Source organism: Homo sapiens, chromosome 5 (assembly GCF_000001405.40).
Source record: "Homo sapiens chromosome 5, GRCh38.p14 Primary Assembly".
In the NCBI taxonomy this organism is placed as follows: Eukaryota; Metazoa; Chordata; class Mammalia; order Primates; family Hominidae; genus Homo; species Homo sapiens.
In genome coordinates this window covers 46331716-46346238 of record NC_000005.10, presented here as the reverse complement: position 1 = coordinate 46346238, position 14523 = coordinate 46331716, and the positions used below count along the sequence as shown (strand labels likewise).

The window sequence follows — 14523 nt, the reverse complement described above, 5'->3', positions numbered from 1 at the left end:
AATCACTCTTTTTATCGAATCTGCAAGTGGATATCTGGAGCCCTTGGAGGGCTGTGGTTGAAAACTAAATGTCTTCTCATAAAACCTAGACACAAGCATTCTCAGAAACTCTTTTGTGATGTGTGCATTCAACTTACAGAGTTTAACCTTTGTTTTTATAAAGCAGCTTTGAAACTCTCTTTATGTAGAATCTGCAAGTGGATACTTGGAGCGCTTTGAGGCCTATGGTGGAAAAGGAAATATCTTCACATAAGAACTGGACAGAAGCGTTCTCCGAAACTACTTTGTGATGTGTGCATTCAACTCACAGAGTTGAACCTTTCTTTTGATAGAGCAGTTTTGAAACACTCTTTTTGTAGAATCTCCAGCTGGATGTTTGCTTTCCTTATAGGCGTATGTTGGAAAAGGAAATATCTTCACATAAAAACTAGACAGAAGCATTCTCAGAAACTTCTTTGTGATGTTTGCATTCAACTCTCGGATAGGAACCTTCCTTTTGATAGAGCAATTTTGAACACTCTTTTTGTAGCATCTATAAGTGGATATTTGGAGCACTTGGAGGCATATGGTGGAAAAGGAAATATCTTCACATAAAAAGTAGACAGAACCATTCTCAGAAACTCCTTTGTCAGGTGTGCATTCAACTCACAGAGTCGAACTTCTCTTTCAATAGGGCAGTTTTGAAACACTCCTTTTGCAGAATCTGCACATGGATATTTGATTCTCCTTGAAGCCTATGGTGAAAAAGGAAATATCTTCACATGAAAACTAGACACGAGAATTCTCAGAAACTTCTTTGTGATGTGTGCCTTCAACCCACTTGGTTGAAGCTTTCTTTTGATAGAGCAGTTTTGAAACATTCTTTTTGAAGAATCTGCAAGTGGATATTTGGAGTGCTTTGAGCCTTATGGTGGAAAAGGAAATATCTTCACATAAAAACTAGACAGAAGCATTCTCAGAAACTTTTTTGTGATGTGTACATTCAACACAGAGAGTTGAACCATTCTTTTGATAGAGCAGTTTTGAAACACGCTTTTTGTGGAATCTGCAAGTGGATATTTGGTTTCCTTTGTGTCCTATGTTGGAAAACAAAATATCTTCATATAAAAACTAGACAGAAGCATTCTCAGAAACTACTTTGTGATGTGTGCATTCAACACACAGAGTTGAACCACTCCTTACATAGAGCTGTTTGAAACATTCTTTTTGTAGAATCTGCAAGCGGATATTTGGAGCGCTGGGAGGCCTATGTTGGAAAAGGCAATATCTTGACATAAAAACTAGACAGAAGCATTTTCTGAAACTTCTTTGTGATGTGTGCATTCAACTGACGGAGTTGAACCTTTCTGTTGATAGAGCAGTTTTGAAACACTCTTTTTACAGAATCTGCACGTGGACATTTAGTTCCCCTTGAGGCCTATGGTGTAAAAGGAAATATCTTCACAGAAAAAACAGACACAAGCATTTTCAGAAACATCTTTGTGACGTGTGCATTCAACTCACACAGTTGAAACTTTCTTTTTGTAGAGCAGTTTTGAAACAATCTTTCTGTAGAATCTGCAAGTGGATATTAGGAGTGGTTTGAGGCCTATGGTGGAAAAGAAATATCCTCACTTGAAACTAGACAGAAGCAGTCTCCGAAATTTCTTTGTGATGTGTGCATAAAACTCACAGTGTTGAACATTTCTTTTGATAGAGCAGTTTTGAAATATCTTTTTCTAGAATCTGCAAGTGGATATTTGGTTTCCTTTGAGGCCTATGTTTGAAAAAGAAGTATCTAAAGAAAAACTAGACAGAAGCATTGTCAGAAACTTCTTTGTGATGTGTGCATTCAACTCACAGAGTTGAATCTTCCTTTTGATACAGGAGTTTGGAAATTCTTTTTGCAGAATCTGCAAGTGGATATTTGGAGCGCTTTGAGGAAGTGGTGGAAAAAGAAATATCTTCAAATAAAAACTAGGCAGAAGCATTCTCAGAAACTTCTTTGTGATGTATGAATTCTACTCCCTCAGCTGAAACTTTCTTTTGATAGAACAGTTTTGAAACACTCGTTTTGTAGGGTCTTCTTTTGACTACTTTGTTTCCTTTGAGGTCTATGTTGGATAACGAAATATCTTCACATAAAAATTAGACAGAAGCATTCTCAGAAACTTCTTTGTGGTGTGTGCATTTAACTCACAGAGTTGAACCATTCTTTTGATAGAGCAGTTTTGAAACACTCTTTTTGTAGAATCTGCAAGTGGATATTTGTAGCGCTTGGATGCCTATGGTCTAAAAGGAAATATCTTCTCATAAAAACCACAGGGAAGCATTCTCCGAAACTTCTTTGTGATGTGTGCATTCAACTCACAGAGTTGAACCTTTCTTTTGATAGAGCAGTTTTGAATCACTCTTTTTGTAGGATCTGCAAGTGGATATTTGGAGCGTTTTGTGGCCTATGGTGGAAAAGGAAATATCGTCACATAAAAACTAGAAACAAGCATTCTCAGAAACGACTTTGTGTTGTGTGCATTCAAATTACAGAGTTGGACCTTTTCTTTGATAGAGTAGTTTTGAAACGCTCTTTTTGTAGAGTCTTCCAGAGGATAGATTGTTTCCTTTGAGGCCTTTGTTGGAAAAGGAAATATCTTCACATAAAAACTAGACAGAAGCATTCTCAGAAACTTCTTTGTGATGTGAGCATTCAACTCACACAGTTGGACCTTTCTTTTGATAGAGCAGTTTCAAAACACTCTTTTGTAGAATATGCTAGTGGATATTTGGAGTGCTTTGTTTCCCATGGTGGAAAAGGAAATATCTTCACATAAAAATTAGACAGAAGCATTCTTAGAAACTGCTTTGTGGTATGTGCATTCAACTCACAGATATGAACTTTTCTTTTGATAGAGAAGTTTTGAAACACTCTTTTTGTAGAATCTGCAAGTGGATATTTGTAGTGCTTGCCTACATATGGTGGAAAAGGAAATATCTTCACATAAAATCTAGACAGAAGCATTCTCAGAAACTTCTTTGTGATGTGAGCGTTCAACTCACAGAGTTGAACCTTTCTTTTGATAGAGCAATTTTGAAACGCTCTTTTTCTAAAATATGCATGTGTATATTTGGAGTGCTGGAGCACTTTTTGGCCTTTGGTGGAAAAGGAAATTTTTTTTAAATTTTTTTTATTTTTTTATTATTATACTTTAAGTTTTAGGGTACATGTGCACAATGTGCAGGTTAGTTACATATGTATACATATGTTGTGCTGGTGCGCTGCACCCACTAACTCATCATCTAGCATTAGGTATATCTCCCAATGCTATCCCTCCCCCCTCACAAACCCCCACAACAGGCCCCAGAGTATGATGTTCCCCTTCCTGTGTCCATGTGTTCTCATTGTTCAATTCCCACCTATTAGTGAGAATATGCAGTGTTTGTTTTTTTTTTTCTTGCGATAGTTTACTGAGAATGATGATTTCCAATTTCATCCATGTCCCTACAAGGAACATGAACTCATCATTTTTTATGGCTGCATAGTATTCCATGTTGTATATGTGCCACATTTTCTTAATCCAGTATATCATTGTTGGACATTGGGTTGGTTCCAAGTCTTTGCTATTGTGAATAATGCCACAATAAATATACGTGTGTATGTGTCTTTATAGCAGCATGATTTATAGTCCTTTGGGTATATACCCAGTAATGGGATGGATGGGTCAAATGGTATTTCTAGTTCTAGATCCCTGAGGAATCGCCACACTGACTTCCACAAGGGTTGAACTAGTTTACAGTCCCACCAACGGTGTAAAAGTGTTCCTATTTCTCCACATCCTCTCCAGCACCTGTCGTTTCCTGACTTTTTAATGATTGCCATTCTAACTGGTGTGAGATGGTATCTCATTGTGGTTTTGATTTGCATTTCTCTGATAGCCAGTGATGGTGAGCTTTTTTCATGTGTTTCTTAGCTGCATAAATGTCTTCTTTTGAGAAGTGTCTGTTCATGTCCTTCACCCACTTTTTGATGGGGTTGTTTGTTTTTTTCAGGATACAAAATCAATGTAGGAAAATCACAAGCATTCTTATACACCAATAACAGACAGAGAGCCAAATCATGAGTGAACTCTCATTCACAATTGCTTCAGAAAGAATAAAATACCTAGGAATACAACTTACAAGGGATGTGAAGGACCTCTTCAAGGAGAACTACAAACCACTGCTCAAGGAAATAAAAGAGGATAGAAACAAATGGAAGAACATTCCATGCTCATGGGTAGGAAGAATCAATATAGTGAAAATGGCCATACTGACCAAGGTAATTTACAGATTCAATGTCATCCCCATCAAGCTACAAATGACTTTCTTCACAGAACTGGAAAAAACTACTTTAAAGTTCATATGGAACCAAAAAAGAGCCCACATTGCCAACTCAATCCTAAGCCAAAAGAACGAAGCTAGAGGCATCACGCTACCAGACTTCAAACTATACTACAAGTCTACAGTAACCAAACCAGCATGGTACTTGTACCAAAACAGAGATATAGATCAATGGAACAGAACGGAGCCCTCAGAAATAATGCCACATATCTACAACTATAGGATCTTTGACAAACCTGAGAAAACAAGCAATGGGGAAAGGATTCTCCAAAGGACATTTGGAGCACTTTGAGGGTTATTGTGGAAGAGGAAATATCTTCACATAAAAACTAGCAGAAGCATTCTCAGAAACTTCTTTGTGATGTGTGCATTCAACTCACAGAGTTGAAGCGACATTCCGATTGAGCAGTTATGAAACACTTTTTTTGTAGAATCTGCAAGTGGACACTTGAAGCGCTTTGAGGGCTATGGGGGAAAAGAAAATATCTTCACATAAAAACTAAACAGAAGCATTCTCACAGACTTCTTTGTGATGTCTGCATTCAACTCACAGAGTTGAACATAGCTTTTCATAGAGCAGTTTTATAACACTATTTTTGTAGAATCCGCAAGTGGATATTTGGATGGCTTTGTGGCCTTTGTTGGAAACGGGAATATCTTCTCATAAAAACTTGACAGAAGCATTCTCAGAAACTTCTTTGTGATGCGTGCATTCAACTCACAGAGTTGAACCTTCCTTTTGATAGAGCGGTTTTGAAACACTCTATTTGCAGAATCTGCAAGTGGATATTTGGAGTGCTTTGAAGCCTTCGTTGGAAACGGGAATATCTTCACATAAATCTAGACAGAAGCATTCTAAGAAACTTCTTTGTGATGTATGCATTCAAGTCACATAGTTGAAGCTTGCTTTTGATTGAGCAGTTTTGAAACACACTTTTTGGGGAATCTGCAAGTGGATATTTGGACCAGTTTGAGGCCTTCCTTGCAAAAGGGAATATCTTCCCATAAAAACAAGACAGAATCATTCTCAGAAACTACTTTGTGATGTATCCATTCACCTCACAGAGTTGAACCTTCCTTTTGATAGAGCTGTTTTGAAACACTCTTTTTGTAGAATGTCCAAGTGGATATTTGGAGCACTTTGAGGCCAAGGTGGAAAAGGAAATATCTTCACATAAAAACTAGACAGAAGCATTCTCAGAAACTTCTTTGGGATGTGTGCATTCAACTCAAAGTGTTGAACCTTCCAGGAGATAGAGCAGTTTCAAAACAATCTATTTGCAGAATCTGCAAGTGGACATTTGGAGAGCTTTGAGGGCTATGGTGGAAAAGGACTTATCTTTTCATATAAACGACAGAAGGATTCACAGAAACTTTTGGTGATGTGAGCATTCAACTCAGAGAGGTGAACTTTGCTTTTGATAGAGCAGTATTGAAACACTCTTTTTGTGGGATCTGCAAGTGGATATTTGAACCGGTTTGAGATCTTCGTCGGAAACGGGAATATTTTCCCATAAAAACTGGACAGAATCATTCTCAGAAACTGCTTTGTGATGTGTGCATTCAACTCACAGATGTGAACCTTGCTTTTGATAGAGCAGTTTTGAAACACTCTTCGTGTAGAATGTGCAAGCAGACATTTGGAGCGCTTTGTGGCCTATTGTAGAAAAGGAAATATCTTCGTATAAAAACGAGACAGAAACTTTCTCAGAAACTATTTTGTTGTGTGCATTCAACTCACAGAGTTGAACCTCTCTTTTGATAGAGCAGCTTTGAAACATTCTTTTTGTAGAATCTGCAAGTGGACATTTATAGAGCTTTGAGGCCTATGGTGGAAAAGGAAATATCTTCACATAAAAACTAGACAGAAGCATTCTCAGAAACTTCTTTGTGATGTGTGCATTTAACTAACAGATTTGAACCTTCCTTTTGTAGGACTTTTTTTAAACACTCTTTTTGTAAAATCTGCAAGTGGTTATTTGGACTGCTTTGTGGCCCTCCTTGGAAACGGGATTATATTCTCATAAAAACTTTAAAGAGGCATTCTCAGAAACTACTTTGTGATGTTCGCATTCAACCGACAGAGTTGAACCTACTTTTTGATAGAGCAGTTTTGAAATACTCTTTTTGTAGAATCTGCAAGTGTACATTTGGAATGCTTTGAGGGTTATGGTGGAAAATGAAACATTTTCACATAAAAACTAGATAGAAGCATTCTCAGAAACTTCTTTGTGATGTTTGCATTCAACTCACAGAGTTGTGCATACCTTTTCATAGAGCAGCTGTGAAAGACTCTTTTTGTAGAATCTGTAAGTGTATATTTGGACTGCTTTGAGGCCTTCATTGCAAACGGGAATATCTTCACATAAAAACCAGAGAGAAGCATTCTCAGAAACTTCTTTGTGTTGTGTGCATTCAACTCACAGACTTGAAACTTCCTTTCGATAGAGCAGTTTTGAAACACTCTTTTTGTAAAATCTGCAAGTGGACATTTGGAGCACTTTGAGGGCTGTGGTGGAAAATCAAATATCTTCACATAAAAACTAGACAGAAGCATTCTCAGAAACTTCTTTGTGAAGTTGCCATTCAACTCACAGAGTTGAACATGCCTTTTCATAGAGCAGTTTTGAAACAGTCTTTTTGTGGAATCTGAAAGTGGATATTTGGACCGGTTTGAGGCCTTCATCGGAAAGGGGAATATCTACATATAAAAACTAGACAGAAACATTCTCAGAAACTTCTTTGTGATGTCTGCATTCACCTGACAGAATTTAAGCTTCCTTTTGGTAGAGCAGTTTTTAAACACTCTTTTTGTAGAATCTGCAAGTGGATATTTGGACTGCTTTGTGGCCTTCGTTGGAAATGGGTATATATTCTGATAACTAGACAGAAGCATTCTCAGAAACTACTTTGTGCTGTTTGTTTAACTCACAGAGTTGAACTTTGCATTTGATAGAGCAATTTTGAAATACTTTTTTTGTAGAATCTGCAAGTGTACATTTGGAGCACTTTGCGGGTTATGGTGGAAAATGAAATATCTTCACATAAAAGATAGAAGCATTCTCAGAAACTTCTTTGTGATGTTTGCATACAACTGACAGAGTTCAACATACCTTTTCATAGAGCAGATTTGAAACATTCTTTTTGTAGAATCTGCAAGTGAATATTTGGAATGCTTTGAGGCCTTCTTTGGAAATGGGAGTATCTTCACATAAAAACTAGACAGAAGTATTCTCAGAAACTTCTGTGTGATGTTTGCATACAACTCACAGAGTTGAACATACGTTTTCATAGAGCAGCTTTGAAAGATGCTTTTTGTAAAATCTGCAAGTGTATATTTGGACCACTTTGAGGCCTTGGTTGGAAACGGGAATCTCTTCACATAAAAACTAGATAGAAGTATTCTCAGAAACTTCTCTGTTCTGTGTGCGTTCAACTCACAGAGGTGAACCCTCTTTTTGATAGAGCAGTTTTGAAACCCTCTTTTTGTAGAATCTGCAAGTGGACATTTCGAGCGCTTTCATGGCTATGGTGGAAAAGGAAATATCTTCACATAAAAACTAGACTGAAGCCTTCTCAGAAACTTCTTTGTGATGTTTGCCTTCAACTCACAGAGTTGAACATACCTTTTCAAAGAGCATTTTGAAACACTCTTTTTGTAGAATCTGTAAGTGGATATTTGGAGTGCTTTGTGTCCTTCACTGGAAACGGGTATATATTCTCATAACTAGACAGAAGCTTTCTCAGAAACTACTGTGTGATCTTTGCATTCAACTCACGGAGTTGAATCTTCCTTATGATAGAGCAGTTCTGAAATACTCCTTTTGTAGAATCTGCAAGTGTACATTGGAGCACTTGGAAGGTTATGGTGGAAATGGAAATATCTTCACATAAAAAATAGGTAGAAGCATTCTCAGAAACTTCTTTGTGACGTTTGCATTCATCTCCCAGAGATGAACATACATTTTCATAGAGCAGCTTTCAAACATACTTTTTGAAGGGTCTGTAAGTGTATGTTTGGCCCGCTTTGAGGCCTTCATTGGCAATAGGAATATCTTCACATATAAACAAGACAGAAGCATTCTCAGAAACTTCTTTGAGATGTGTGCATTCAACTCAGAGATTTGAACCTTCCTTTTGATAGAGCAGTTTTTAAACACTGTTTGTGTAGAATCTGCAAGTAGACATTTGAAGTGCATTGAGGGCTATGGTGGTAAAGGAAATATGTTCACGTAAATACTAGATGGAAGCATTCTCAGAAAGTTTTTTGTGGTGTGTGCATTGAACTCACCGAGTTGAACTTTCTTTTGATAGAACAGTTTTGAGACACTCTTTAGAATCTGCAAGTCGACGTTTGGACCAGTTTGAGGCCTTCGTTGGAAATGGGAATATCTTCACATAAAAACTAGACAGAAGCATTCTCAGAAACTTCTTTGTGATGTGTGCATTCAGCTCACCGATGTGAACTGTCCTTTTGATAGAGTAGTTTTGGAACACTCTTTTTGTAGAATCTACAAGCGGACATTTGGAGTGCTTTGAGGCCTATGGTAGAAAAGGAAATATCTTCATATAAAAACTAGACAGAAGCATTCTCAGAAACCACTTTGTGTTGTGTGCATTCAACTCACAGAGTTGAACCTCTCTTTTGATAGGGCAGCTTTGAAACACTCTTTTTGTAGAATCTACAAGTGGACATTTGGAACGCTTTGAGGCATAGGATGGAAAAGGAAATATCTTCACATAAAAACTAGACAGAAGCATTCTCAGAATTTTCTTTGTGATGTGTGCATTCAAATCACAGAGTTCAACCTTCATTTTGGTAGAGCAGTTTTGAAACACTCTTTATGTAGAATCTGTAAGTATACATTTGGAGTGCTTTGAGGGCTATGGGGAAAAGGCAATATCTTCACATAAAAACTAGACAGAAGCATTCTCAGAAACTTCTTTGGGATGTGTGCATTCACCTCACAGTCTTGAACCTTTCTTTTGATACAGCAGTTTTGAAACACTCTTTTTGTGGAATCTGCAAGTGTATATTTGGACAGGTTTGAGGCCTTCATTGGAAACGGCAATATCTCCACAAAAAACTAGGCAGAAACATTCTCAGAAACTTCTTTGTGATGATTGCATTCATCTCAGAGAGTTAAACATACCTTCTCATGGAGCAGTTTTGAAACTCTCTTTTTGTAGAATCTGCAAATGGATATTTGGTTCCCTTTGAGGCCTATGGTGGAAAAGGAAACAGTCACATAAAAACTAGACAGAAGGATTTTCAGAAACTTCTTTGTGATGTGTGCATTCAACTCACAGATCTGAACCTTTCTTTTGACAGAGCAGTGTGGAAACACTCTTTTTGTACAATCTACAAGTGGATATTTTGTTCCCTTTGAAGCCTACGGTGGAAAAGCAAATATCTTCACATAAAAATCAGACAGAAGCATTCTCAGAAACCTCTTTGTGATGTGTGCATTCAACTCACAGAGTTCAACCTTTCTTCTGATAGAGCAGTTCTCTAAGACACTCTTTTTGTAGCTTCTGCAAGTGGATATTTGGAGCACTTTGATGCCTACTGTGAAAAGGAAATATCTTCACATAAAACTAGACAGAAGCATTCTCCGAAAATTCTTTGTGATGTGGGCATTCAACTCACAGAGTTCAACCTTTCTTTTCATAGAGCAGTTTTGAAACACTCTTTCTGTAGAATTTGCAAGTGGATATTTTGTTCCCTTTGAGGGCTATGGTAGAAAACGAAGTATCTTCACCCCAAAAGTAGACAGAAGCATTCTCAGAAACTTCTTTGTAATGTGTCAATTCAACACACAGAGTTGAACCTTGCTTTTGATAGAACAGTTTTGAAACACACTTTTTGTAGAATCTGCAAGTGGATACTTGGAACTCCTTGATGCCTATGGTGGAAAAGGAAATATCTTCTCAAAACAAAAAGGCAGAAGCATTTTCAGAAACTTCTTTGTGATATGTGCATTCAGCTCACTGAGTTGAACCTTTCTTTTGATAGAGCAGATTTATAACAGTCTTTTTGTGGAATCTTCAAGTGGATATTTGGAGAGCTTTGAGGTCTATTGTGGAAAAGGAAATATCTTCACATAAAAACTAAACAGAAGCATTCTCAGAAATTTCTTCATGATGTGTGCATTTATCTCGCTGAGATGAACCTTTCTTTTGATAGAGCAGATATGCGACACACTTTTTGTAGAATGTGCAGCTGGATACTTTGTTTCCTTTGAGACCTGTGGTGTAAAAGGAAATGTCTTCACATAAAAACTAGACAGAAGCATTCTGAGGAACTTCTTTGTGATGTGTGCATTCAACTCACAGTGTTGAACTTTCTTTCATTAGAGCAGTTTTGAAACACTTTTTTTGGAAAATCTGAACGTGGACATTTGGAACGCTTTGAGGCTTATGGTGGGAAAGGAAATGTCTTCACACAAAAACTACCCAGAAGCATTCAGAGAAACTTCTTTGGGTTGTGTGAATTCACCACACAATGTTGAACCTATCTTTTGATTGAGCATTATTGTATCTCTCTTTTTCTAGGATCTGGAAGTGGGTATTTAGAGCCCTTGGCTTCCTATGGTGGAAAAAGATATATCTTCAAATAAAAACTAAACAGAAGCATTCTGAGAAACTTCTTTGTGATGTGTGCATTCAACTCACGGAGCTGAACCTATATTTTGATAGAGCAGTTTTGAATCTCTCTTTTTGTAGAATTTGCAAGTGTGTATTTGGAGCACATTGAGGCCTATTGAGGAAAAGGGAATATATTCACAGAAAAACTACACAGAAACATTCTGAGAAACTTCTTTGTGATGAGAACACTCATCTCACAGAGCTGGTCCTTTTCTTTGAGCAGTTTTGAAACACTGCTTTTGTAGAATCTGCATAGGGATATTTGGAGGGCTTTGAGGCCTATTTTGGAAAAGAAAATATCTTCACATAAAAACTGCATAGAAGCATTCTGAGAACTTCTTTGTTATGTGTGCATTCAAAACACAGATTTGAACCTATCTTTTGCTTAAGCAGCTTTGAATGTCTCTTTTTGCAGTATCTGCATGTGGATATTTGGAGCAATTTGAGGCCTATTGTGGAAAGGAAATATCCTCACATAAAAACTACCCAGAAGCATTCTGAGAAACATCTTTGGGATGTGTGCATTCAACTCACAGAATTGAACTTATCTTTTGATGGAACAGTTTTGAATCTCTCTTTTTGGAGCCCATTGTGGCCTGTTGTGGAAAAGAAAATATCTTCAAATAAAAACTACACAGAAGCATTCTCAGAAACTTCTTTGTGATGTGTGCATTCAACTCAAAGAGTGGAACCTTTCTTTTGATACAACACTTTTGAAACTTTCTTTTTGTATATTCTGCAAGTGGATATTTGGAGCTCTTTGGGTCCTATGGTGGAAAAGGAAATATCTTCACATAAAAACCATACAGAAGCATTCTCAAAAACTGCTTTTTGTTGTGTGTATTCAACTCACAGAGATTAACCTTTCCTTTCATAGAGCTGTTTTGAAACACTCTTTTTCTTCAATCTGCAAGTGGATATTTTGTTTCCTTTGAGGCCTATGTTGGAAAATGAAATATCCTCAAATAAAAACTAGACAGAGCATTCTCACAAACTTCTTTGTGACGTGAGCATTCAACTCACAGAGTGGAACCTTTCTTTTGATAGAGCAGTTTTGAAACACTCTTTTTTGTGGAATCTGCAAGTGGACATTTGGAGCGCTTTGATGCCTATGGTGGAAAAGGAAATATCTTCACATAAAAACTAGTCAGAAGCATGCTCAGAAACTTCTTTGTGATGTGTCATTTCAATTCACAGATTTGGACACTTCTTTTGGTAGATCAGTTTTGAAACACTCTTTTTGTAGAACCTGCAAGTGGATACTTGGAGCGCTTGGAGGCCTACGTTGGAAAAGGAAATATCTTAACAAAAAAACTAGACAGAAGCATTCTCTGAAACTTCTTTGTGATGTGTGCATTCAACTCACAGAATTGAACCTTTCTTTTGATAGAGCAGTTTTGAAACACTCTTTTTGTAGTATCTGCAAGTGCATATTCGGAGCGCTTGGAGGCCTGTGGTGGAAAACGAAATATCTTCACATAAAAACTAGACAGAAGAATTCTCAGAAACTACTTTGTGATGTGTGCATTCAATTCACAGACTTTAACCTTTCTTTTGATAGAGCAGTTTTGAAACACTCTTTTTGTAGAATCTGCAAGTGGATATTTTGTTCCCTTTGAGGCATATGGTGGAAAGGGAAATATATTCACATGAAAACTACACAGAAGGATTCTCAGAAACTTCCTTGTGATGTGTGCATTCAACTCACAGATTTGAACCTTTCTTTTGATAGAGCAGTGTGGAAACACTCTTTTTGTATAATCTGCAAGTGGATATTTTGTTCCCTTTGAAGCCTATAGTGGAAAAGCAAATATCTTCACATAAAAACTAGACAGCAGCATTCTCAGAAACTTCTTTGTGATGTGTGCATTCAACTCACAGAGTTCAACCTTTCTTCTAATAGAGCAGTTCTGAGACGCTCTTTTTGTAGAATCTGCAAGTGGATATTTGGAGTGCTTTGAGGCCTATTTTGAAAAGGAAATATCTTCACATAAAACTAGACAGAAGCATTCTCCGAAAGTTCTTCGTGATGTGGACATTCAACTCACAGAGTTCAAACTTTCTTTTGATAGAGGAGTTTTGAAACACTCTTTCTGTAGAATCTGCAAGTGGATATTTTGTTCCCTTTGAGGCCTATGGTGGAAAATGAAGTATCTTCACCCAAAAACTAGACAGAAGCATTCTCAGAAACTTCTTTGTGATGTGTGCATTCAACTCACAGAGTTGAACCTTGCTTTTGATAGAGCAGTTTTGAAACACCTTTTTTGTAGAATCTGCAAGAGAATACTTGGAATGCTTTGATGCCTATGGTGGAAAAGGAAATATCTTCACATAAAAAAGAGGCAGAAGCATTTTCAGAAACTTCTTCATGATGTGTGCCTTCAACTCACTGAGTTGAACCTTTCTTTTGATAGAGCAGATTTATAACACTCTTTTTGTGGAATCTGCAAGTGGATATTTGGAGCACTTTGATGTCTATTGTGGAAAAGGAAATATCTTCACATAAAAACTAAGCAGAAGCATTCTCAGAAATTTCTTCATGATGTGTGCATTTATCTCGCTGAGACGAACCTTTCTTTTGATAGAGCAGATTTGAGACACCCTTTTTGTAGAATCTGCGGTTGGGTACTTTGTTTCCTTTGAGGCCTGTGGTGTAAAAGGAAATGTCTTCACATAAAAACTAGACAGAAGAATTCTGAGGAACTTCTTTGTGATGTGTGCATTAAACTCACAGTGCTGAACCTTTCTTTCATTAGGGCAGTTTTGAAACACTCTTTGTAAACTCTGCAAGTGGATATTTGAAGTGCTTTGAAGCCTATGGTGGAAAAGGAAATATCTTCACATAAAAGCTACCCAGAAGCATTCAGAGAAACTTCTTTGAGATGTGTGCATTCAGTTCCCAGAGTTGAACCTCTCTTTTGATTTAGTAGTTTGAATCTCTCTTTTTGCAGTATCTGCATGTAGATATTTGGAGTGATCCGAGGCCTTTTGTGGAAAAGGAAATATCTTCTCAGAAAACTGTGCAGAATCATTTTGAGACACTCCTTTAGGATGTGTGCATTCACCTCACAGTGTTGAACCTATCTTTTGATTGAGCAGTATTGTATCTCTCTTTTTGTAGGATCTGGAAGTGGATATTTGGAGCCCTTGGCTGCCTATGGTGGAAAAGGATATATCTTTAAATAAAAACTAAACAGAAGCATTCTGAGTAACTTCTTTGTAATGTGTGCATTCAACTCACCGAGCTGAACCTATGTTTTGATTGTTCAGTTTTTAATCTCTCTTTTCGTAGAATCTGCAAGTGTATATTTGGAACACATTGAGGCCTATTGAGGAAAAGGGAATATATTCACAGAAAAACTACACAGAAGCATTCTGAGAAACTTCTTTGTGATGAGTGCACTCATCTCACAGAGCTGGTCCCTTCCTTTGGTTGTGCAGTTTTGAAACACTGTTTGTTAGAACCTGCAAAGGGATATTTGGAAGGCTTTGAGACCTATTTTGGAAAAGGAGATATCTTCA

The 14523-nt window shown here is 37.3% G+C and overlaps 1 annotated feature.

Moving 5' to 3' along the window:
• Positions 6491 to 7024: an enhancer, noted in NCBI's record as "OCT4-NANOG hESC enhancer chr5:46339317-46339850 (GRCh37/hg19 assembly coordinates)". NCBI's record gives its function as "activates a minimal SCP1, AML or CMV promoter by ChIP-STARR-seq in primed H9 embryonic stem cells {active_cell/tissue: H9 hESC(primed)}" and the evidence as "EXISTENCE:reporter gene assay evidence [ECO:0000049][PMID:30033119]".